This window comes from Homo sapiens, chromosome 2 (assembly GCF_000001405.40).
Source record: "Homo sapiens chromosome 2, GRCh38.p14 Primary Assembly".
Taxonomy (NCBI): Eukaryota; Metazoa; Chordata; class Mammalia; order Primates; family Hominidae; genus Homo; species Homo sapiens.
The window spans coordinates 112,371,783-112,398,585 of record NC_000002.12 but is presented as its reverse complement, the minus strand read 5'-3'; the positions used below and the strand labels follow the sequence as shown (position 1 = coordinate 112,398,585).

Below are 26,803 nucleotides of genomic sequence, written 5' to 3'. Positions count from 1 at the left end.
GGTTAACAGAAGTAATAGAAAGAGCATGGACTTTAGAATCAGAAGATGTTAGACTGTACAACACTTTTCTGTGTTCCTGAAGAAAAAAATAGAATAAAGACAAAAAAATAAAAATAATAATACAAAACAACAGAAAAACAAAGAAAAAAGATAATTAAAAAACACTTTCACGTGTATTATTATTTAAAGTGTAAAGTGCTTATTAAAGTGACAAAAATGTAAATAAGATAAAATATATCATTTTAGAGTTTTTACTTTTGGAATTTTTTGCAAATGAAAGCCCTTAATTAATGTCTTTTATTTTTAGTTGCCTGTGCCCCTGGAGTCTGTAAAACAGATGCTTAATTCAGTCATGCAGGAACTCGAAGACTATAGTGAAGGAGGTCCTCTCTATAAAAATGGTTCTTTGCGAAATGCAGATTCAGAAATAAAACATTCTACACCGTCTCCTACCAAATATTCACTATCACCAAGTAAAAGTTACAAGGTAAACAGGAAAGAATGGAATCATTTCATTGTGAAATTGTTTCTGTTCTAAGTGTTTTAAATGCTGTTTTGTTATTTTTATTTTTTTTTTCAGTATTCTCCCGAAACACCACCTCGATGGACAGAAGATCGGAATTCTTTACTGAATATGATTTGCCAACAAGTAGAGGCCATTAAGGTAAGTCACTTAATTTCTCTAGCTGTACTTTTTATTCCAAGATTCCTTCCCTGGCTACTCTCTCACTTTTTTTCTGAAGCTGGTCAGAATGTCCCCTTGCCATCCAAATAGTATGGCAAGGGGACATTTTGGTCTTTTTTTTTTTTTTTTAAGACAAGGGTCTTGTTCTGTTGTGCAGGCTGGAGTACAGTGGTATGATCACAGCTTACTGCGGCTTCAACCTCCTAGCTCAAGAGAGCCTCTTGGCTCAGCCTGCCACGAAGCCAGGACTACAGACAGTCACATGCCACCAGGCCCAGCTAATTGTTGTATTTTTTGTAGAGATGGGATTTTGCCATGTTGCCCAGGGTGGCCTTGAACTCCTGGCTCAAACAATCCTCCTGCTTCAGCCTCCCAAAGTGCTGGGATTGCAGGTGTGAGCCACTGTGCCCAGCCTACATACCTCGGTCTTGACCCTTTACCATATTTTGTTTTGTTTTGTTTTGAGATGGAGTCTCACTCTGTTGCCCAGTCTGGAGTGCAATGGTGTGATCTTGGCTCACTGCAACCTCCACCTCCCAGGTTCAAGTGACTCTCCTGCCTCAGCCTCCCGAGTAGCTGGGATTACAGGCACCCGCCACCAGGCCCAGCTAATTTTTGTATTTTTAGTAGACACAGAGTTTCACCATGTTGGCCAGGCTGGTTTTGAACTTCTGACCTCAGGTGATCTGCCCACCTTGGCCTCCCAAAGTGCTGGGATTACAGGTGTAAACCACCGCACCCAGCCCTTTACCATATTTTTGAAAGTACTTTATGTGTCTCTCTCCTCATCTTCCACAAAATTTGAGACCTTCAAAGGTAGAAACTGTTTTATTTAAAATATAAGAGTTCCTGACACAGAGAAGGTTCCCGAGTGATTGAAGTGCTACAATGTACTAATCATACTCTGGTCTATGAGTTCATTCCCAGATTAGCTGTGGATTACATGTGTTTCAAATGTATAGCTAGGAATCGAAAAGTGGTCTGAGCTTCAAAAAGTCTTACTATATTTTAATACTTCCATATGAATTTGACTTAATTATGTAAGGAAATAGTTATGTATATATATCTTATTTTAACAATAGGGTTCAAAGGAGCTTGACTTTTTTGGAATTGGAAATAAAAGTAGGTTCTTTCATGTTTATCAAGCAAGAACTAAATTACTCATACTGCTAAAGTTACATCAAGGATATGCTGATGTGTGGCGATTATTACAGTGTGATCAGCAGCATTTGCAAATTAAGAGAATACTATTTGGTGGGGAAGACATTTTTGAATTTGCACAAAAATTTTGAATGTTAATTCTGTGTAGTCGTGGCCTATGACAATTACATACAATTTTGACTTAACATACAGGTTTCAGGCTCCCAACATTGTATTCTGTGGAAGTATAGTGGAGCACTAGTCCATGAGCTTGAAAAGCTTGGTACTAGTACTGACTCTGCCATTAATTAATGATCTTGGGCCAGTCACTTCCTTTGTGACTGTTTGGCTTCTTATCTTTAAAATGAGAGAATTATTGAAGCCAGTTCTCATCACACTGAATGTTAAAAATTACAGTTACAGCAGTGATTGCAAATTCAAAGCTCTGGTGCGGATACCAACAGTGACTATAAAGTTTTCTAGGTGATTCCACTAGTTTCTTATTTCTTGGATGTGTATGTGTAGCATCTGGACTAGGCACTGTAGATGGATGAATGGGGGAAATTTTATTTAGCTTGAAAATTGAGATAGTTTTGGACCTCATGGTTAGGTCTTTCTGGGAAATTTTTAATTGAAACACTTGTAGAAACAGAAAGCAGACATGCTAGATCTGTCCCTGACCTCACTTGTTAGAACTGATCGGATTCCTGGGCTGATACAGAGAAGTTTGAAACTTTTCAAAATTTACCTGTTTTCTGATACCACTACAATTTCTTTGGAAAAAGAATTTCCTGTTAAGTGTCTGTTTTGTAAGGGGACATTTTGTAGGTTCTAGGGTGTTGGGTATGGTGCTGTCATTTAGTTTTCTTCAGCAGAGATCAGGTAGCCACATAGCTACACTAGACGGCATTGGATCTATCTGCCATCTTGTCAAGGCAGCAGAGTTGTGTTAAGAAAACATTTTTGGAGTCAGATGTGTTTCAAATTCCAGCTGTTATTCCCTGCATCCGTTTCTCTCATTTTAAGATAGGAGCTAATATTGTTTACCTAACAGTGTAGATGGTGTAAAAATTAAGAGTTTAAGTGCATTGGACGTATTATTATATACATAATAAATTCTCTGCAGCTACTACTTTTTTCCCTTTCCTGGTGGAGCATTTGAACATCACCTTGAGAATTAGTTGTATTTTGTTTGAACACAGGGTTAAGTGAAAAGCTAATTTGGGGAGGTGATTTGGAATGTCAGGTAGTCCAGGTTGCAGTGTAGAAAGAACACACTGAAAGGATGGTCAGTGTAATGTTAGAGGACTGTGAAAGTTGGGGAAAGAAGTTTAGTTTGTAGGTACTTGTTTTTTTGAGCAGGGAATTGTCTTGGCTGGAGGTGAACGTCAGAAAGGTTAATGTAGGCAAGTGTAGAATGGAAATGAAGGTGTGATCATTTAGGAGGTTATTTGTTTAGGTGAGAGAGTTAATGAATTAGGTTTTGTATTAACGAATGAAAATGGGAGCAGATAAATTTTTAACAAATTAAGAATCATATTTTAAAATCAGCACCAGGTACCTAGAACTCTTTGGCAAATAGAAACTTTCAAAAGATATAATCAGGTCCGGGCGTGGTGGGTCACACCTATAATCCCAGCACTTTGGGAGGCTGAGGTGGTGGATCACTTGAGGTCAGGAGTTCAAGACTAGCCTGGCAAACATGGTGAAACCCCATCTCTACTATTATACCAAAAATTAGCCGGGCGTGCTGGCTGACGCCTGTAATCCCAGCTACTCGGGAGGCTGAGGTGGGAGAATTGCTTGAGCCCAGGAGGTGGAGGTTGCGGTGAGCCAAGATTGTGCCATTGCACTCCAGCCTGGACGACAGATCGAGACACCATCTCAAAAAAGAAAAAAAGAAAAAATCAGTTATTTAAATTTAAAAGAGTAAGTTTCCCCAGCACTGTTTCTGGCATGATATAATTAAATGATTAAAATTATTTGATTTTTTTTTTCTTCCAATAGAAAGAAATGCAGGAGTTGAAACTAAATAGCAGTAAGTCAGCATCCCGTCATCGTTGGCCCACAGAGAATTATGGACCAGACTCGGTGCCTGATGGATATCAGGGGTCACAGACATTTCATGGGGCTCCACTAACAGGTGAGCTGGCAAGTGGATAATCGCATATTTTAGTAAAACTACTTTACTTCCCTCTTTTAAGTAGATAACGTGTGAAATCACCTTGTTTATATATGTTTGTTAATATACATGTCAACGTCTGTTTATATGTGACTTCAAAAGCTGTATTAGGTGTTACGGAGATTTTTATAATCCCAAGCAGAAAAAACGAGCCGTATGTGATCACGTGTATATAAAGGCTTAAAGAACACTTAATCCACACCTCAGATGAGCTGAGATGAGATTATTCCTTAAATTGCAAAATGTTATTGAATAGAGTTATGCACTAAGAAATGCTTAATTAAGAACCTACACCTCTGGGGAATTATTTTGATGATAATGATGAGAGGCAGGACGTTATATAGGAAATCTTACTTAATTTGAAATATTATGGTTATATAAAGAAAGAAAAGGAGTTTGGACCTGAATCATACTGGGTTTTTAAGTTCTGCTCTATCACTTACTATAATAGCTGTGTAAGTTAACCTGTCTGAAATGTGGAGATAATACTTGCCTTACATAATTACTATGAGCATTTGTGTATGTGCAGGTGGGCGTGGGTGTGTATCAGACATTTATTAGAGTATACAGTAAACAGTTAATGAACTAAGGTTACTAATAGTGTTTACTGTGGGTTGGCTGTGTGCAAAAGTGCTGTGTGAATGTAATTTGATTTAATTACAGTAACTTAGAATGGCCGGCACCATTATTAATCCCTTTTTTATAAATAAGGAAATGGATAAAGAAAGGTTAGGTAACTTACTCATTATTATACAGCTAGTTATTGATAGAGCCGAGATTCACACTCCAGTGGTGTAACTCCAAAGCACTTGCCAGTATAATACATTGCTCCCAGGCAGCCAGAAATAACAAAATTGTTCCTTTTACGTACGACAGACTTCTGAAATGGTAGTAGTAGTGCCCTTTTTTTTTTTCTCTTTTTAGCCCAGGAAAGATTTAGAAAAAAATCTAGTTTAGATGAGCACATTTGTGTGATGGTTCCTATAGTTAAGGCAACCCCACTAGCCTTTTGTGATAGTATCTTCTCAACACAAGCAAAATAACAGAAAATCTTTGTGAAGTCAAGCTTATTAAATGTCGTAAGTCATAGATAAGTATATGAAATGTCTAACGTTCAAACCTTGTTTTCTTAAAACCTTACACATCATATAGGTCCTTGTAAGAGGATAAACAAACCGGCTAGCCTTTCCTGGGGCTTTTTTAGTGATGTGTGCAGTCAGTTATTTGGTGCCTTGTGGGTCATGATTTCCATTTCTTCTGTGTACAGGCATAAAAGGTCTTCTGTTCTTATACAAGCATGTAAATCCAACATTCTCATTGTCTCATTTTATTCTTGCAATGACCCTGTGAAATGTGTAGAAGCAGCACATCGTCATTTTACAATTGAGAAACATGGAGACTCCAAATGGATTATTTACAGGTTCACAAAACAGCTTTGTGGCACTGAAAGGGCGAGAGCCAAGATCTCCTGATTTCTGTTCCTGTGTTCATAGATTCTTTTTCCTTAATAAAAGTAAACATATATCAAGATGGTCCTTGTTTTTTTAAAATAAGATGATTAAAATTAAAGATTAATGAGCTCATAGGAGATACTCAGAAGTACTGAACAGGGTGAAGAAAACTAAAAGCTAACCACCTTATTAACATTTCTTATATTTGAGAGCATTTCCTTCTGGTTCTTTCTCTATACATATAGTATTTTTTATGAGATTGTTACCATGTTACTATGTTGTGTGTAGATGAGCTAGCCTGTTTTTAAAATGTTACTTTAGTTCTGAGCATTTTTAAACTTAAATGTTTTTTGAATATTAATGAGTTCATGGTATCCCATCACATGGAAGTACTGTAAATTCTGTTCCTTTATTTATGTTGTTTCTGGTTTATGCCATTACAAATTCTAGGACACTGTCCTAGTTTTGTAGGGTATTCAAAATATTCAGTTTATGCTCTTACCGCTAGTATCTGATAGTGCCATTTTCGCACTTTTGCTAATGCTGACTTACTAGTTTATAAAATCCTTTGCCAATTTGTAGGAACAAAAGTGATATCAATTTTTAAGTTTTTTTAATACTAGTCATGCTCAACAATTCATGCAAATGGCAGTTGGTAGTTTTGCCATCTTCAACGTACCTTCCAGTTGTTTGGTTTCTTGGTAAAACTCACACAAAACAGATGGAGAAGAGTTTTTGTATATCAACATGAATGTTAATGTGATTTTTTTAAAGCCAACGAACACATTTGTGTTCCTTGTGAGATCCTGTGCGTGAATTTGTCAGGTAATTTTTTTGACCTGAACATTCTCATAATAGCTTCAATTTGCACAATGCAACCTCGTCATTTTGCAGATTTTCAAGGCTCACTTCAAAAACATGTTCCTTGAGGCCTATTAACATTTCTTTCCTAAATTGTCTATTCATATGGTGCTTTAAAAAATTAGATTACTTTTAGTAGATTTATTAGAGCCGCACAGTTTAGAGTCAGTAGTCAATTAAAGTCCCTACTTAAACTTCAGACTAAGATTTTTTTTTATTTAATATTTTATTTTTTCTTTTTGCTTTCATGCAGACAGACATCTTGCAAGACTTTAAGATTCTTGGGCCATTTCTGTCAGGTTGTTCTGTGTTCTGTGCCTGCTTCCTCCCCATAGTAATTTCAAAATAGCTATCCTCACCTCTGTAAGGTTTCCGAAATCAAACTTGGGCTTCTGGCTAGCCTTTTCTAGGTCTTGATTTTTCAGTGCTTTCCAGAGGCAATTGTTTGGAACCTCTTGGCACAGTTTCTGTTTCTTCTTCCATGTACAGGCATAAAAGGTCTTTTGGTTGTTTTCTGGTAAAACTATCATAAAACAGTTCAAGCAAATGACTATTGGTAGTTTTGTCATTAACATGGGTGCCTTCTAGTCATTTTGTTTCCTGGCAAAACAGACCAAACAGAGGGAGCAGACAGTTTGTACATCTGTATGAGTGTTGATGTGCTTTTTATTTTAAGCCAGGGAACACATTTTATGTTATTTATGACATCCTTTCCATGAATTTGTCAGGTGATTTTTGAGCTGAACATTCTCAGTAATAGCTTTAGTTTACAAAATACAACCTAGTCTTTCTGCAGATTTTCTAGGCCCACTTCAAATGCATTGACTATCAGATGGCATCTTGGTTCCTTACGTCCTTTCTGTGACTGAATGTCCATAATTCCACATCATACTGATCTTTCTTAGAAAAGGCAACAGTTACTATCTTCTTTATTCCTTTTTTAATGCTTGCGAGGTAGTTCTTGTTGATCACAGCGATGCTATTCTCTCATTCTTCATGTCATATTTAGCAATTTTTTTCTAGTTTGTCATTTGATAATCTTGATTGGTGTATTTTGATGTACAGAAATTTAAAATTTATGTAGTTAAATCTTTCTTTAATTTCTATTGCTTTTGTATTTATAGCTCTTGCCTAGATAGTCTTAACTGTAGTATAGACTTTAACAGTGTTTTCTTTCTTTTCTTTTTTTTTTTTCAGTTGCAACTACTGGCCCTTCAGTATATTATAGTCAGTCACCAGCATATAATTCCCAGTATCTTCTCAGACCAGCAGCTAATGTTACTCCCACAAAGGTAACAAAGGAATAATTTATACATTTATAATTATTTTCTTTTTAAATTGTTTAGGGTTCCTTCAAATAAATTCAAGAGAGCAGTTCACTATTAAAACTTTTATGTCCCTTAAAATGTAGATATTTTAAATTTATCTCCAAATACAGAAATTATCCTTCTCAGTCACCTTATTTTTGTGTTAATAAGTGTGAATATTTAGAATATTTTAAAAATGGGAGTGGTGGTGGTGGATCCTTCATCGTTCTGTTTTAACAGAAATAGAACTGTAATGCCCTTGCTGACCCACTATGTGGTAAGTACTTTCAGGCCTGATACAGCTATATATATAACAATTGATTGAAGACTCAATATTACAGTGGTAGTTGAATGTGACAGCTTTGAGGACAGAGTGTTGGGGTGCATTTAGACCCTTGCTCTTCTGCTTATTTTGACCACAGGCAAGTTTCTTAACCTCTCAGTGCATCAGTTGCCTTATATGTAAAATGAGGATAATAATAATACCTTAATTCATAGGGTTTTTGAGGATATTAAAATGAGATAATAATGTAAAGTGCTTAGAACAGTGCCCAGCTGGCACATTAATGAATGCTCAATAAATGTTATCATCATCATCATCATCATTATTGTTAACATCATTTGATAAATTGTTTAGGAATGAAGAAGGTATTTATTTCATGACTATTTTGGGCATGTGGATCAAGAAAATTCACCTTCATTTATGTTTCAGGGTTCTTCTAATACAGAATTTAAGTCAACCAAAGAAGGATTTTCCATCCCTGTGTCTGCTGATGGATTTAAATTTGGCATTTCGGAACCAGGAAATCAAGAAAAGAAAAGGGAAAAGCCTCTTGAAAATGATACTGGCTTACAGGCTCAGGATATTAGGGGCCGGAAGAAGGGCCGTGGTGTGATTTTTGGCCAAACAAGTAGCACTTTTACATTTGCAGATGTTGCAAAATCAACTTCAGGAGAAGGATTTCAGTTTGGCAAAAAAGACCTCAATTTCAAGGGATTTTCAGGTGCTGGAGAAAAATTATTCTCATCACGATACGGTAAAATGGCCAATAAAGCAAACACTTCCGGTGACTTTGAGAAAGATGATGATGCCTATAAGACTGAGGACAGCGATGACATCCATTTTGAACCAGTAGTTCAAATGCCTGAAAAAGTAGAACTTGTAACAGGAGAAGAAGGTGAAAAAGTTCTGTATTCACAGGGGGTAAAACTATTTAGATTTGATGCTGAGGTAAGGCAGTGGAAAGAAAGGGGCTTGGGGAACTTAAAAATTCTCAAAAACGAGGTCAATGGCAAACTAAGAATGCTGATGCGAAGAGAACAAGTACTAAAAGTGTGTGCTAATCATTGGATAACGACTACAATGAACCTGAAGCCCCTCTCTGGATCAGATAGAGCATGGATGTGGTCAGCCAGTGATTTCTCTGATGGTGATGCCAAACTAGAGCGGTTGGCAGCAAAATTTAAAACACCAGAGCTGGCTGAAGAATTCAAGCAGAAATTTGAGGAATGCCAGCGGCTTCTGTTAGACATACCACTTCAAACTCCCCATAAACTTGTAGATACTGGCAGAGCTGCCAAGTTAATACAGAGAGCTGAAGAAATGAAGAGTGGACTGAAAGATTTCAAAACATTTTTGACAAATGATCAAACAAAAGTCACTGAGGAAGAAAATAAGGGTTCAGGTACAGGTGTGGCCGGTGCCTCAGACACAACAATAAAACCCAATGCTGAAAACACTGGGCCCACATTAGAATGGGATAACTATGACTTAAGGGAAGATGCTTTGGATGATAGTGTCAGTAGTAGCTCAGTACATGCTTCTCCATTGGCAAGTAGCCCTGTGAGAAAAAATCTTTTCCGCTTTGATGAGTCAACAACAGGATCTAACTTCAGTTTTAAATCTGCTTTGAGTCTATCTAAGTCTCCTGCCAAGTTGAATCAGAGTGGGACTTCAGTTGGCACTGATGAAGAATCTGTTGTTACTCAAGAAGAAGAGAGAGATGGACAGTACTTTGAACCTGTTGTTCCTTTACCTGATCTAGTTGAAGTATCCAGTGGTGAGGAAAATGAACAAGTTGTTTTTAGTCACAGGGCAGAAATCTACAGATATGATAAAGATGTTGGTCAATGGAAAGAAAGGGGCATTGGTGATATAAAGATTTTACAGAATTATGATAATAAGCAAGTTCGTATAGTGATGAGAAGGGACCAAGTATTAAAACTTTGTGCCAATCACAGAATAACTCCAGACATGAGTTTGCAAAATATGAAAGGGACAGAAAGAGTATGGGTGTGGACTGCATGTGATTTTGCAGATGGAGAAAGAAAAGTAGAGCATTTAGCTGTTCGTTTTAAACTACAGGATGTTGCAGACTCGTTTAAGAAAATTTTTGATGAAGCAAAAACAGCCCAGGAAAAAGATTCTTTGATAACACCTCATGTTTCTCGGTCAAGCACTCCCAGAGAGTCACCATGTGGCAAAATTGCTGTAGCTGTATTAGAAGAAATCACAAGAGAGAGGACAGATGTTATTCAGGGTGATGATGTAGCAGATGCAGCTTCAGAAGTTGAAGTGTCTAGCACATCTGAAACAACAACAAAAGCAGTGGTTTCTCCTCCAAAGTTTGTATTTGTTTCAGAGTCTGTTAAAAGAATTTTTAGTAGTGAAAAATCAAAACCATTTGCATTTGGCAACAGTTCTGCCACTGGGTCTTTGTTTGGATTTAGTTTTAATGCACCTTTGAAAAGTAACAATAGTGAAACTAGTTCAGTAGCCCAGAGTGGATCTGAAAGCAAAGTGGAACCTAAAAAATGTGAACTGTCAAAGAACTCTGATATCGAACAGTCTTCAGATAGCAAAGTCAAAAATCTCTCTGCTTCCTTTCCAACGGAAGAATCTTCAATCAACTACACATTTAAAACACCAGAAAAGGGTAGGTACTTTGTTGTTAAAGTTAAGCACAATTTTTCTTTCTTTTAATGTTTAGCTTGATGCAGACTCTTTGTGGGATACTAATGTTGGGATATAAACGATGCTTTGTGAACACCCCCAAAATATTTGAGCAATTTTTTTTCTCCCTTAATAAGTTCTCGGTGAGGTTTCAAAGAGCAAGAGAACTTAGTTAAAGACATTTCAGTAACTGGAAGATACTTCTATCATGCTAGGGCAGAGCAAAAGAACTTGGTACAGTGTACGGAGTCATGCTTGAATCATGCGCATTAACGTGAGTCTTTTTTTAAAGTGTTCATTTTCATTTGTTCTGTTTCTTTTGTCACTCAGAAAACATGATATTGAGGCTGGGCACGGTGGCTCACTCCTAGAATGCCAGCACTTTGGGAGGTTGAGGTGGGCAGATCACTTGAGCTCAGGAGTTCGAGACCAGCCTGGCCAACATGGTGAAACCCTGTTTCTACTGAAAATACAAAAATGAGCCGGGCATGGTGGTGCGTGCCTATAATTAGCAGCTACTCAGGAGGTTGAGGCAGGAGGATCGCTTGAGCACAGGAGATGGAGGTAGCAGTGAGCTGAAATCATGCCACTTACTCCAGCCTGACTGAGTGACTGAGTGAGACTTTGTCTCCAAAAAAAACAAAAAACAAAAAACAAAAAAAAACATGATATTGAGATGTTCTCATTTTATGTGTTGTATGTCAGTCTTGCTCATGTATTAAATGAGCAAAGAATGAAACTACAGGGATAAATGAATATGTAAGACAGTCAGATTGGTGGTATAAATTGAGGGATTCTGGCTTTTTATGTTTTAAAAGCATATTCATTTTGTTTCCTAAAATGTTAAAAAATGAAATATTCTTTATTTTCTAGGATTTAATTTTAGCCTTTTTAAATCTAATCCCATGGCCTTTTGGACTAGCACCCCTTCCTCACAGCCTGAGAGCAAAGGTATAGAACTAGCATTCTCAGTATGAGATAACAGCAGTTTTTAGCAGCTGGGTAGCCCTTAGCAAAGTATTAATTACTGTGGCTGTATGAAATGAAGTACTTACCACTACAACATGCATGTTAAAGAATGCCAGTTTAAGCAAAGTACCTTTTGACTGGTGGCATGACACCCTTGTTGGTTTGTTTTTTAAAATGTAGTGGGATGCTGATTTGTAATGTACTTCATTGCTCTGCTATTTCAGGTCTGCTCAATGAAGACCTATGTTTTATCTAATGTTTATCTTTAGCCACTAACGTCTGCCAGTATTCACATGTAGTGGCAACGGCATGTATACAGTATGGAAGAGTGTCCCTGTAGGGCTGTTCTTTTGTGCATGGTTTAGAAAAATGTTGTATTTGAAAATGGACCCCATTTTTAACAGCCAGCATTCTACAGCTTGCATATTATATATGTTGCACAGATCATTTTTAGAAGTGTGGCTACTAGAGTGGAACAAGAAGTGGGATCTGTTGAAGGCCTTCAAGAACAGGTTAGGGAAGTGAAATCTCACCCTTAGTGACCAGTAACACATCTTAGCCATGCCAAACAAGTACAATGATAAAGTAACAATCTCTGATTTTTTTTTAAGTATACCAGTTTTATTACCAGCTAAGGTAGCTCTTAATCTTTTATTTTAAAGATACGGTCTTTGAGAAATGTGAAAAGTGTTAACTTAAAAGTGGATGTATACTTGCGTACAGTTTCTGTGAGCTCTAGGTTAAGAATCCCTGAGCTAAGAACGAATGTGCCTATACACTACTGTAGAACATAGAGCCTTATTCTGTTTTGAATCTGATAATGTCATTGTCCCAAGGGACCTTAGAAATGAAGACTTTAGACATGAGTAAACTGAGGCCAAGAGAGGCTATCTGATTTACCCAAGGGGTCTTTACTGAGTAATAGCAGAAGTGGAACAAGAATCTGTATCTTATGGTGTACTGTTATTTCTCCTAGCTAGGAAATGATACTAAGTTTTTGTTTATAATGAAGGAGAGGGACAGATTTAACATTGTAAAAGGAAGGGCACTGGTTCTGCAGAGCAGTGTCATCCAATAGAAATAAAATATAACCTGTGTATGTAATTTAAAATTGTCATTTGGTGCAATGGCTTGTGCCTATAATCCCAGTTACTTGGGAGGCTGAGGCAGAGGGATCACTTGAGCCCACAAGTTCCAGGCTTCAGTGAACTATGATCACATCACTGCACTCCAGCTCTGGGTGACAAAGGTGACAAAGGAAGACCGCATCTCAAATAAATACATAAATAAATAAATTTTCTAGTAGCCATATTAAAAAGAATAAAAAGAAACAGTTAAAAAGGGAAACAGATGAAAGTAACTTTATTGATAGATTTGATTTAACTCATTATGTCCAAAATATCATTTTAACTTCTAATTAATATAAAAATTAACGATATTTTACATTATTGTTTTTCACCAAGTCTTCAAAATCCAGTGTGTGTGTTTACACTTACTGTTAGCATGTCTTGATTTGGACTAGCCACCTTGTGAGGTTTTAATAGAATGTGGCTAGGCTACCATATTGGACACCATAGCTCTCAGAATGTTTCCCTGTCACCAGTTGGTATACATGGCATGCTTCATAACTGGCTTACTTTATTAAACTCCTTTAGCCAGAAGTTCTTCTTTACATTAATAGATCAGAACAGGTTGCATATAGAAGTTTTTTCTGTTTCTAATTTTTTGCCCTTTGCATTGATGGTGGCTGGGGATGGGTTGTTTTCAGCCATATGAATGGTCTTAGATTTTATAGTGTTAGCTACCCATAGAGTCACAGTTTTTATTTAATTTTATCTAGTATCATGCTTGAACACAGGCAAACTAGATGCAACTCTAGTCACCTTCCATTCTTGGCAATTGTTAACTTTCCTTACAGGAACTAATCACAGTTGGCTTTGGATTAGTTTCATATGTATACTAATACTTGCTTATGTTTTAAGATTTTTTTCAATTGCTGCAAATGCGTGGATATTTTGGTAAACTATTGTATGCTAAGTATAGTTAGGCAACACTTTAAAATTTTTAACCTTTTTAAATTCTAGAAATTTTGTAGTAATTCTTTTCAATGACTATTAAGTAAACACAAGATTTTTTTTGTTTTCTTTGGTTTTAAATAGATTCTGTGTTCACTTAGGGTTTTTGGTAGAACACTAAATCAGGATGCTAATTCTAATTCATGATTATCGTACATCTCTGCATCAAAGTATATGTGTTTTTTATCAGTATGCTGTTTTAACCTATAGATAGGTTCCATGGTTTTTATTTTCAGGTAGAGTATTAACGTCAATACTTAATACCTTATCTTTGTCAATTTTTTTGACTGGTGTTACAGCAAAAGAGAAGAAAAAACCTGAAGATTCTCCCTCAGATAGTCTCGGTCTCCTGACCTCGTGATCCACCCGCCTCGGCCTCCCAAAGTGCTGGGATTACAGGCATGAGCCACTGCGCCTGGCTGACACATGTCTTAATTCTGGTATTCACCAGATTTGTTTCGTGTTCTCCGTTGTTAGTCATCAAATTTGTCTACTTTTTAAATAGAAACATTAGCTAGAGCAAGGAACTTAGAAACACTCAAGCGGCACTGAATGTGTAGAATTGCATAACCAATATAGCTTCTTTGCTTTCACATTTACAATTAGTTGGAGTTTTAGTTCAGCCGTACCCAGTATCTTCCATTCTGCTTCCAGGAAGAAATGGAAAAATGTCAGCCATGATGATGCAGTATTTTAGTAGCAAGTTGATGGTGTTTTGGTTTCCCATGGGAAATATTGTCACTGGAGCATTAGCAGCTATCGGTCACTTATTAGGGTAAAAAAGCAACTTCAGAAGAATTTAATATATGCCAAAGAATCAACAAAGGAAGTAATCAGCCAGGGCAAAGGTCGCACAAGAGATTGTAATCTAGCAATCAGCAGTGGAATAAGCAGTCAGCTTACCAGAAACCCAGGAAAATGCTTCAGAAAGGGCAGTCAGGACTAAGGCAATTTAATGAAATGCAAAATAAATGAAATCTGAAGTTTAAATAAAAATCTAGATTACAATTCTGGTTTCTAACTCAGTTATGAGACCTTGGGCAAAGTCATTAAATTTCTCTGAACTTCAGATTTTTGGGAGTCAATAAACCAATACATGTCAAAGGGCCTGGTAAACTTTACAGTTTAGACCAGGCGTGGTGTCTCACCCCTGCAATCTGAGCACTTTGGGAGCCAAAGCAGTTGGATCACATGAGGCCAGGAGTTTGAGACCAGTCTGAACAACATGGTGAAATCCCATCTCTATTAAAAGTACAAAAATTATCTGGGCGGGATGGCATGCACCTGGAAGTCCCAGCTACTTGTGGGGCTGAGGTGGGAGGATGGCCTGAGCCTGGGAGGCAGAGGTTGCTGTGAGCCAAGATCGTGCCACTGCACTCCAACCTGTGTGACAGAGTGAGACCCTGTCTCAGAAAAAATAACACTTTACAGTTTATCAGCAAACAGGAAAGTCTTGCTAGGCAATGTAATTGATTAGTTCCGTGCCCTGGATTCTGGGCTCTTAACTGTATGAGCACTGTAGGTGTGAGCAGCAACAATTAAGAAGCTGCAGAGGTAAAGGTATAAGGGCAGTGATTGAGGATGTCTACCAAGCAGATTTCAGCAAGTGTGTTTCAAGAAGTATGCAGCAATCTGAAATACCTAATCCTGAAAAATTTCTAGAATCTAGTCTTTTAATTTTGGCCAGTATTTAGCAGTAGTTTGGCCCTCTACTCTAAATTAATAAAAAATAAGTAGTACTATATTATGAGCTGTGTTATCTAACAGTTTATCTTAGCTAGTAGCAATTAATTTATAGCTGCTATTAAAATGACTAACGTAGTTAAAAGTTTGATGAGTAAGTTTTTTTTTGTTGTTTTTTTTTTTTGAGCTGGCGTCTCGCTCTGTCGCCAGGCTGGAGTGCGGTGGCGTGATCTTGGCTCACTGCAACCTCCGCCTCCTGGTTTCCAGCAATTCTCTGCCTCAGCCTCCCCAGCAGCTGGGATTACAGGCACCTGCCACTGTGCCTGGCTAATTTTTGTATTTTTAGTAGAGATAGGGTTTCACCATCTTGGCCAGGCTGGTCTTGAACTTGCTGACCTCGTGATCCACCCACCTTAGCCTCCCAAACTGCTAGGATTACAGATTTGAGCCACCACGCCCGGCCTTGATGACTAAATTTTAAGAAATGTTTTAGCAATTCTTCATACACCTTTCACTTATAGTTACTTAATTCCTCTACTCTTATCATTTGATATTTTCATTTTATTGTGTACCTCTGTAAGGCCGAATCAATAGATTTTGAACAATCTCACACTTAACCTTTAAAAAAAATCTAATAGGCCCAGTTTCCTCTCAACAATCTTTGAAGAACCTTCGAGAAAGGAGAAACACAGACCTCCCGCTTCTAGACATGCACACTGTAACCCGGGAAGAGGGAGAAGGCATGGAGACAACTGATACGGAGTCTGTGTCTTCCGCCAGCACATACACACAGTCTTTAGAGCAGCTGCTTAATTCTCCCGAAACTAAACTTGGTCTGTTACTCTGTCTAAATATGTTCTTCTTCTTTAATTTCACTGTCTTATTTAATTACTATTACTCTAAGGTACATATGCTTTTTTGGGCTGCTCCAATAAAATTTCTTTCAATATTCCACTACCTGTTTGTATTAGGGTTCTCTAGAGGGACAGAACTAATTGGATGGTTGGATGGATGGATGGGATGGATGGATGGATGCTTATTAAGTATTACCTTACACGATCACTAGGCCATCTGCAGACTGAGGAGCAACGAGAGCCAGTCCAAGTTCCAAAACTGAAGAACTAGGAGTCTGATGTTCAAGGGCAGGAAGCATCCAGCACAGGAGAAAGATGTAGCTTGGGAGGCTAGGCCAGTCTCGCCTTTTCAGGTTTTTCTGCCTGCTTTATATTCGCTGGCAGCTGATTAGATGGCACCTACCAGATTAAGGGTGGGTCTGCCTTCCCCAGCCCACTGACTCAAATGTTAATCCCTTTGGCAACACCCTCACAGACAACACTCAGGATTAATACTTTGCATCCTTTAATCCAATCAAGTTGACACCCAGTATTAACCATCACACTGTCCAAATGGAAAAATTATTAAACAAATCTTTTTTAAAATAAAATGCTAGCTCTTGCCCTAGGCTTGAACCATAAATAAGTGGTGGGAAGTTTATAGTCACAAATAGGTGGTGGGTATTAGAAAGCAGGATAAACTATCCTCTCACCCTTCCAAGAAACTGACAGTTTCAGTTTATTCCTCTTGATGAAGTAATGCTAAATTTTTGTAGTGATGTTTTGGTATATTTTATTACTTGTAATTAATATTACTGTTCAAAATTTAGGGGGAATCTGTCATCTTCCTGAAACTTCAGAATCACCTGGAGTAAGGGTCATTTGTATTCATGGTCACTGACCACGTGGGGTAGAAACTGCAAGTCATGGTTCCTTCAGGCAAAGTTAATAGTGGTGACACGGAGGCATCATGATAGAGCAGCAGACTCCAGAAGCCAATTTGACTTTGTGATTTCTGAAAAAATTACCTGTCAACTGTGAGCCTGTTTCATCATCTGTAAACTTTGAATAATGATACCTACCCCGCCTGATAGAAGATTCTTATGAGGGAACATGATACGTGACCAGTAAATGTTAATGCTTTCCTTATACGTGAAATGACATAAAATCTTGGAATATTAATAGATGGGAAGAAGATGTGTAATAAAACTGTCTATAAACACAATTCTGACAAATTTCAGAACTGGGATTCATAGGGCTTTATTCAGTTAGATTACATGCTTTACAACAGAGATACTGTTTTATTTGTGTCACCTACAACATATAATCTGTTGATTGAGGTATGCTGAATAGATGAATGGCAAAGAAAGCAGACCTATAAAATATCACATAGTAAGATATTTATATTTAGATTTTTCTTATTTAGAATCTTCATCTGTAATGTATGATTTTGAAAATTAATTCTTGGAACAACATCTTGCAGAGCCTCCATTATGGCATGCTGAATTTACCAAAGAAGAATTGGTTCAGAAGCTCCGTTCCACCACAAAAAGTGCAGATCACTTAAACGGCCTGCTTCGGGAAATAGAGGCAACCAATGCAGTCCTTATGGAGCAAATTAAGGTGAGATCAGAAAACCTGGCCACCGTGAAAACCGCCAGTTTGGTTTTCTGGACCTTCCATACACATGCACCCAAGTTTAAAAATTCACATTGCAGATGCATCTATAACGTCTTGATCTTTATATTAGATTCCTGATGGTGAGAAATATTGCCTTTTTTTTTTTTTTTTTTTTTGAGACAGTCTTGCTCTGTCACCCAGGCTGGAGTGCAGTGGCACGATCTTAGCTCACTGCAAGCTCCACCTCCCAGGTTCACGCCATTCTCCTGCCTCAGCCTCCCGAGTAGCTGGGACTACAGGTGCCCGCCAACATGCCTGGCTAATTTCTTTGTATTTTTAGTAGAGACAGGGTTTACCATGTTAGCCAGGATGGTCTCGATCTCCTGACCTCGTGATCCACCTGCCTTGGCCTCCCGAAGTGCGGGTATTACAGGTGTGAGCCACCGCATCCAGCCAAAATACTTCTTTTACACCTATTACATAAAGATTATTTCTTAATTCCTACTTTTCCTAAGAAACCGTAATAGATTTAGAAACTAGAGAGATGTTCACAAATCATTGTTCACATATGCTTAAATAAAAAATGGGTGTGAGTCTTTGAATTCTAAAGATAACCAGTGAATTTAAATTATTCAACTGATATTTATAGTACTGAACTACTAAACAGTTTTCAGGTGGAGATGGCAAAGTGGCATGGGAAGTTTTTCCTGTTTAAAGTAGACACCAGAAACATCTAGGAATGTTGCAGAACAGTTGAGGATTACTCAAATGAGGTTTTTCCACCCTGGCTCACTGATAAATCACCCCTCAGAATATAGTCATACTGCTTGTTGAGGAGTTCTTATGACCCAGGCCCTGGGCTTTACATACATTATTTAATCTCATCACTGGTTGAGAGAAAAATTGAAGCTGGTAAATGGTGGAACAAAATTCAAACTCATAGCTGTCTGAAAAGTACATGCTTTTCCCCTGTACTTTGCTGCTCCTAATAGATCTGTCCTGCCACTGTGCAAGGCCACTAGCTATCCTTGTCAGATTATTTTAAAGCCGAATTCAGTTATTTTCAGTAAATTGTATATATCATGACATTCCACCATTAAATACTTCAGTATGCATCTCTATAAAATAACATTTTCCCACTAATAAAAACATTATCATAGCTAACAAATCACTAACTAGCCCAGTAAACCTAAATGACTTATTTAAATGTTATATTTTCTTGTTTTTTTTTTTTGAGATAGTCTCGCTCTGTCACCAGGTTTGGAGTGCAGTGGTGCAATCTCAGCTCACTGCAATCTCCGCCTCCCAGGTTCAAGCGATTCCCCTGCCTCAGCCTCCCGAGTAGCTGGGACTGCAGGCATGCACCACCATGCCCGGCTAATTTTTTTTATTTTACTAGAGACACAGTTTCACCATGTTGGCCAGGACAGTCTGAATCTCCTGACCTCGTGATCTGCCTGCCTCAGCCTCCCAAAGTGTTGGGATTACAGGCATGAGCCACCACGCCTGGCCAAATGTTATATTTTCATAAATTTATACTCTCTTCATGATTTCTTCGTCTTCTTTATTGTCACTTTTTTAAATGGTCCTAGGTTTGAGGACAAAGTTCGCTAACTTTCTTGCCTAACCTAAAATGAAAATATACTAAAAGCTATGGCTTGGTTTCAACCTGGAAATCTTCCTCAAAGACTTGAACATGATATTACCTTTTTTATATTGTTCTTTGCCTCATTTCTCTGATAGTGTTTTACATTGTCTTATATTCCTGAATTTTCACTGTGTCTAACTTTTGTTTTGATTAAGTGCCGTTCACTGTGGACGTCTTAACTGCCTGGGACTTTAGGAACAGGGTAGGGGCAGGGGGTTAGTGGAGGCTGCCGATGTTCCCCTCAGCCCATTTTCAGAGCCCCATGCCATACTGGCTTAGTTTCTATCGAAAGTAGAAGGCAGAGGGAACATCTTGGTACCAACCCATGGCTCCAGTTAGTTGCTCCTCATGGAGACGTTCCATCAGTTCCCCAGCTTTCAACTCCATTTCCATGATACCCTGTGCTTCTGAGACAAGAACCCCAGTATTTACACAGGATGCATCCTCTCCTCTTGTCAGTGATACTTGGTAAGCTGCTGGACTGACTCATTTCCACCTCTTCATCTGTTTCTCGTGAGAATTTCTTGATGTGTCTCATCTACTTTTTCTCCTCTTGTATTAGCTTGTTGCTTTTCTACTTCGCCCCTCTTCCTTCCAACCCCAAATAGCTTAGGACAATGGAGTCCTATAGCCCAACACTTGGTTCATATGCAGCAATCCACTTTCTAGGCAAATGCAGCTTTGAAACTATCTCATAGTTGGAGTTCCGGTTTTCATGTCAAATGGATTTTATACGGTGATGTCATAAACTCCTTTGAAATGCTTCACATGCAGCTGCTGTAGTTAACTGAATTCCTTCCTTTATTGCCATATGGAGGGAAGGGGGAAATTTGGGGGGAAGAGAAGAAAAATACATGAGTTCAGTCTGCCATATTTAATCAGAAGCTCCTAAAGCCCATTTTTAACTCATTTCTCTAACACCAGCTTCTCAAAAGTGAAATAAGAAGATTGGAAAGGAATCAAGAGCGAGAGAAGTCTGCAGCTAACCTGGAATACTTGAAGAACGTCTTGCTGCAGTTCATTTTCTTGAAGCCAGGTAGTGAAAGAGAGAGACTTCTTCCTGTTATAAATACGATGTTGCAGCTCAGCCCTGAAGAAAAGGGAAAACTTGCTGCGGTTGCTCAAGGTGGGTAAAAGGAGAGTCTCAGAACTTCTGACTTCTAACTTAAACTAAACAGCCTGGTGGTTGAGAAGTTGTCTGTATGTGTAACTTTTCAATTTTGCTCATTTGAATTGGGTCTGTCATATGAGTAGGCCGTGACTAGATTTGAAAAGCTGACTTTTTAACATCTTGAGGCAACTGTAGTACATTTATATAATTTTAACGTTCAGCAAAATACAATAAGTGCTTAGCTTGATCTTCTAGCTCTTTGAAAATTGGATTTTTATCCTGGTGTTGAGTTCTGGTGTTCAGCTGAACGTGGTTTTGTTTTAAATTCTACTTTTTAAAAAGCATTTATTAGCTTGTTCCTTTTCTACTTCACGCCTCTTCCTTCCTCCAACCCCAAATAGCCTAAGACAATGGAGCCATAGAGCCCAACACTTGGTCTATATACAGCAGTCCACTTTCTAGGCAAATGCAGTTTTAAAACTGTGCCATAGGCCAGGCGCCGGTGGTTCACGCCTATAATCCCACCACTTTGGGAGGCCGAGGCAGGCGGATCACAAGATCAAGATACCGAGACCATCCTGGCCAACATGGTGAAATCTCGTCTCTACTAAAAATACAAAAATTAGCTGGACGTGGTGGCATGCGCCTGTAGTCCCAGCTACTCAGGGGGCTGAGGCAGCAGAGTCGCTTGAACTCACGAGGCGGAGGTTGCAGTGATGTGTCACGCCACTGTACTCCAGCCTGACGGCAGAGCGAGACTCCATCTCAAAAAAAAAAAAAAAAAAAACTATGATGTAGTTAGAGTTGGTTTCCATGTCAGATGGATTTAATACTGTGATGTCATTAACTTCTTTGAAATGCTTCATATACAACTGCTATAGTTAACTGAATTCAAGCTGCATCTTAAGAATTATGGTTTCGTTTTTGTTTTAGTTTTAAATTACTTTTATTTTTGACATTTACAAGCACAAGGAAGACGCTATAATCTCTCTTGAGTTGTCACCCATCTCTAACAGTTTTCAACTCATGGACAATCTTTTGGCGTAAATAGGGGAGAGTTAGAGACTTAAATCCCACACATCATTTCTTTCCCCAGTGAATAATTCAATGTTTATTGGATTTCTCTGTCACCTATACCTAGTTTATGTTCATTTTGCCTGTGTTATTGTGAATGTCTTTTTATAGTATCCTAAATAGGGCTCATATATTGCATTTGGTTGATATTCCTTAAGCTTTATTTTGTTGTTGTGTTTTTGTTTGTTTGAGACGTAGTGTTGCTCTGTCACCCTGGCTGGAGTGCAGTGGTCCGATCATGGCTCACTGCAACCTCCGCCTCCCGGATTCAAGTGATTCTCCTGCCTCAGCCTCCCAAGTAGCTGGGACTACAGATGCACGCCAGCTAATTTTTCTATTTTTAGTAGAGACGAGGTTTCACCATGTTGGCCAGGATGGTCTCAATCTCCTGACCTTGTGATCTGCCCGCCTTGGCCTCCCAAAGTGCTGGGATTACAGGTGTGAGCCACCACGCCCAGTCATTTTGTTGTTTTTTTATCTATAACAATTATATATATAAGTATATTTTTAATGTGCCACTTATTAATTGAAGAAAGTGGTCATTTATGCTATAGCAGTTCTATATTTGGGTTTTAATCATTACAGGGTAACACTGAGCTTGTTCCAATTGCCTATAAATAGGAAGATCCAGGTGCAATTGGGTGGGATGGTGGACAAAAATACATCATAGATGGTATTGTGTGCTTTCTAAGACATGAGGAGGCCCAGAATGTCCAGACAACTTACTTTTGACTGATTGACCTTATCTAGTTGGTGTTCTTTAACATGTTCCCCATCCCCTGTAAACCCTAATAACTAAACTGATAAGAGTCATCCTCAAAATTGAGCAGGCATCTGAATCATCTGGTATACTTACTAAAATTCCAATTGCTGGTCCCCAATTTCTGACCCAAGATTCTGCATTTTTAGCAATTTGTTGCTGATACTTCTGGTCTGGGGCCCATACCTTGAGAACCCCCGGTCTAGAGGCCTGATAAGATTCAGGCTTAATTTTTTTTACAGACATACTTCATAAGTAGTATTGATAGTTTCTTTGAATCTGGTTTTTAATAATCTTTCTAATGATGAAGGAGGAATGTTCTCAATACTGACAGTAATCTCAGTTCTTCAAACTATAGGATAGGTTTCTATAGCCACAATAGTATTTTTGTCACAAGGGCCCAAATAAGAATACATCATGTATATTTTTAATACTTATTCAAATTACAAATTCACTGTCTTTAATTTATTCTAACAAAAGTAAACCTAATTTTATAGTTATAAAAAAGAAGAAATCTACTTCTAGTCACCTAAGAGTAAAACTGCCCTTATAAAAAACAAGACAGAAATCTCAAAATTATAACTAATTTTATAGTTATAAAATTAACCAGGACTTTAAGAACGTTTGCATTTTAAAATTAAAGTTTTCAATAGTTTTCAATACAACAATGATACTATCTCAAAATACTCAGCATGTCTAACAGGCCTCTTTTAAAAGCTCAGCATGTTTAATGTAGGTGTTGCTAACGTCCAGGTGGCTCCTATAAGTTAAGGGTCCATTGATTTAGAAGTTCTAAAAGAGACTAACCTAAGGGATACCAATAACAGATATTTTTAAAGAATTTCATAGAGGAGATACACATTAGAAACCCAGAACTCTAAGATGTGCATTTGCTAAGTCCTGTAAACAGACAGGAAAACACATTTACATTAGTTTGCCCTTTAAAGATTATTTCCTACTTGTCTCTTATCAATGTGAGTACATAAAAGAGACCTTATTACAATTAAAAACAATGATGGTTTAGCAGCAGATTTAGATACCTTACATTCTCTCTTTAAGAGAGAGAATGTAAGGCCTGGTGCGGTGGCTCACACCTGTAATCCAGCACTTTGGCAGGCCGAGGAGGGTAGATCACCTGAGGTCAGGAGTTCGAGACCAGCCTGGCCAACATGGTGAAACCCCGTCTCTACTCAGAATACAAAAATTAGCCGGGCATGGTGGCGCATGCCTGTAATCCCAGCAACTTGGGAGGCTGAGGTAGGAGAACTGCTTGAACCCAGGAGGCAGAGGTTGCAGTGAGCCGAGATGGTGCCATTGCACTCCAGCCCAAGCAACAAGAGCAAAACTCCTATCTCAAAAAAAAAAAAAAAAAAAAGAATGTAAACTACAAGATGGTTCAAAAGAAATTACACAGAATTCAGCATGGGAGAAACAAAAAACAAGAGTGGGAAAAGACATCAAACATGTTTTTACTAATCGAAGTTCTAAAAGGAGAGACAAGAATACAGCACAGATAATATATGAAGAGAATGGCTGGAAATCTTTCAGAACTGTTGAAGGATATCTATCCACAGATTCAAAAACCCAGTAAAATCTCAAGCAGTATTAAAAAAAAAAGAAGAAATCTACTTCTAGTCACATAAGAGTAAAACTGCCCCTAAAAAAGACAGAGAGAAATCTCAAAAGCAGCCAGAGAAAGAAGACACATTGCCTCACAATAGACTTCTCAACAGCATTGGTGTAATACTATCTCATGTACTAAAAGAAATAACTGCCAACCTTTTATATTTTCCAAGATCTCTTCTGGAAAACAAAAACTTTAAGAATCTGCCTTCACTGGAAATTCTTAATGATGTACTTCAAGCAAAAAGAAAATTTCCTAGGTAAAAGGTCTAAGATGCCAGAAAGAAAGACATGCAAAGGAAACTTACCACCATATTACAGATATGGACTGTCAGTCTGACTGGTCACACTAGGGGCATTTTGTTACCAAGGCCTTGAAAATAATAACCAACACTGCATACATGAGGGATGCCAGAAGAAAGGTCTGAGAGCCACTCTTCCTGGCACTGAAGGAAACAGGGCCCATCAGAGCAAACAAGTACCTTTTGCCTCTCTCATCTCCTTGGAGGCAAATGTTTATAATCTCTGGTTTTGTGTAAAGTTTATAACAGTATTTTTCATTCAGGTTGCTACCTATTAGTGGATGGTGAAATTAATTTGGTGGATCACATTCAGGATATTTTTTTTTTAAATCAAAAGAATACAAGCTGGGCTCAATGACTCACACCTGTAAGCCCAACAGTTTGGGAAGACCAGGCAGGAGGATTGCTTGAGAACAGGAGTTCAGAATCAGCCTGGGCAACATGGCGAGACCCTATGTCTACAAAAATTTTAAAATATGCCAGATCTGGTGGCATGTGCCCATAGTCCTAGCTACTCGGGAGGCTAAGGCAGCAGGATTGTTTGTTAGAAGGAGTTCGAGGCTGCAGTCAAACTTCTGGTCGAAATCCTGGTCACGCCACTGCATTTCAGCCTGGGCAACAGAGTAAAACCCCATCTTTAAAAAAATATTAAGAAATAAAAATAATATGTGAAACGTTAGAATATGTTGAATCTGGTAAGGATAAGCAATTATTTCTTGAAACTCTACATATATACATGAGTGTTGGTAAATACCTGACTGTATCATCAGCTCTAGATATAAAATGTTTATGATGTTGGCTGTGAGTTAATGAGGAATAGTTTTCCTTTCTGTGGGTTTGGGTGTATTTGGGAAACATTAGCTTAGGGGGGTAAAGTAGGTTACCCAACTCTGAAAAGCAGCATCAAAATCTTTATAATAAACACATATTAGGGGCCCAACTTAAATTTCAAGCAGATGTCATGAGCTGCTCAGAGTAGCGTGTTACAACTCTGCGTTATAAGGTAAAATGACTTAGAGTGTAGCAGTAGTCCCCAATGTCAAATAGACAGTGGTAAGTATAGATTGCTCTTCTCCTTGCATCACAAATGTTAATTCACCCTGCCCCCACACGCATTAAAACTCAGCATATTTCACAAATTGAGTGTTTCATTTCTATTTGAGATAGACTTATGGTAAGTCAGCTTTGCTCCCCAAATAAGTTAGCCATATAGTACTTCTATATGCAAAATTTGAATCTCAATTTTACTACTAAAGCTGGAAGTAAAAGTCATTTTTCTATATCTTCTTTGCTCCCAGACTGGGTTACAGTTTACAGATCTGAATATTGTCACTTGTACACCATACATACACAGAGGTCTAAAACTCTCTACAAGTAAATAAAGAAAAAAAGCCCAGCAACCCAATAGGAAAATAGGCCAAGCCTGTTATAGGCTTTTTGATCATCTCCAGACTGGCAGGAAGAGAATGCATACTCACACTGTAAGTGCCTGATTTGATTTGCAGAGGATATAGAACCTTATCAGAAAACAGCCTTCCAAGGCAAGAGCAAATGCACCCTATCTAAGCACAGCTTTTCTCCAATTCTTATTTACCTAAGGAGATGAATAGCTGCCAGGAACATTGTTTGCACAAGGGCAGGAGCCTGCCAGATCTGAGAACACAGCAAAATTTTTATTTTGTCAAAAATCTTATATTCAGCTTACACCATTCATTTCAGGTGAACATACAACAGTCTGCATTTCAGTTTAGGGAAATGTTTACAGTCGTCTGGTTCTCTTTATTCTTGGGAACAAGGTTACCTCACTTGGAACACATAACCAGTGCCAAGTTGTCCATCCCTAAGCAATATCGCTTCCTCCTACTTTCTAGAAGTTCTTCAGGTTGTGGAAGACAGACTTTTCAGAATTGTTTGCCCTCATTCCCTCCTCCAGAAATGCATGCCTTTGTATAATCTCTTCCCCTTGAGAGCCAGTAGGCTAACCTAATGAGTTATGTTTAACCAGTAGAATACAGCAAGAATGATAGATTACAAGAGATTGTGGCTTCTATCTTGCTAGCGGCCTCTCTCTGTCTTCTCTGCTTGCACACTTTGTTGAAGCAAGCTACCATCCCAGAGGCAAGGAACACAGGCCATCAGTTTAGCAGCCTTGAGGAACTAAATTCTTCCAACTACCACATAAGTTTGGAAGTAGATTCTTCTCCAGTCCAGCCTTCAGATGAGACCCCAGCCATGCCAACATCTTGATTGCAGCCCTGTGAGAGACCTTGAAATAGAACCATTTCTGATCTCCTGACCCACAGAAACTGTGAAATAAATATGTGTTAAGGTACTAAGTTTGTAGTAATTTGTTACGCAGCAGATTGTAAATAACACGCAGATAAAACCAGACAGAACAGAAAAATAAAATGACTTGTAACTCTAGAAAGTTTCCCCATGTAAAATTTTGAAAATGCTACTCTGCCTAAGGTCAAACTGTCATACATATATACGTATGAAAACACAGAAAGGTGTCTGGAAGGGTAA

At 38.2% G+C, this 26,803-nt stretch overlaps 1 protein-coding gene across 7 annotated transcripts in view; it reads left to right on the top strand.

Moving 5' to 3' along the window:
* RGPD8 (RANBP2 like and GRIP domain containing 8) overlaps positions 1 to 26,803 on the top strand; it is a 65,277-nt gene that overhangs the window by 35,060 nt on the left and 3,414 nt on the right. For 3 of the 7 annotated variants that reach the window (NM_001164463.1, XM_024453101.2, XM_047445676.1), the window contains 7 exons: positions 308 to 487; positions 581 to 664; positions 3,833 to 3,968; positions 7,517 to 7,611; positions 8,339 to 10,562; positions 17,623 to 17,762; positions 20,332 to 20,533. In NM_001164463.1, coding sequence (NP_001157935.1) covers positions 308 to 487; positions 581 to 664; positions 3,833 to 3,968; positions 7,517 to 7,611; positions 8,339 to 10,562; positions 17,623 to 17,762; positions 20,332 to 20,533 — 3,061 coding nt within the window. Of the gene's footprint in view, positions 1 to 307; positions 488 to 580; positions 665 to 3,832; positions 3,969 to 5,366; positions 5,480 to 7,516; positions 7,612 to 8,338; positions 10,563 to 11,452; positions 13,554 to 13,922; positions 16,264 to 17,622; positions 17,763 to 20,331; positions 20,534 to 26,803 lie in introns of those variants that run through there. The other 4 variants (XM_011511733.3, XM_005263747.6, XM_017004825.2 and 1 more) reach the window with 4 other exon arrangements.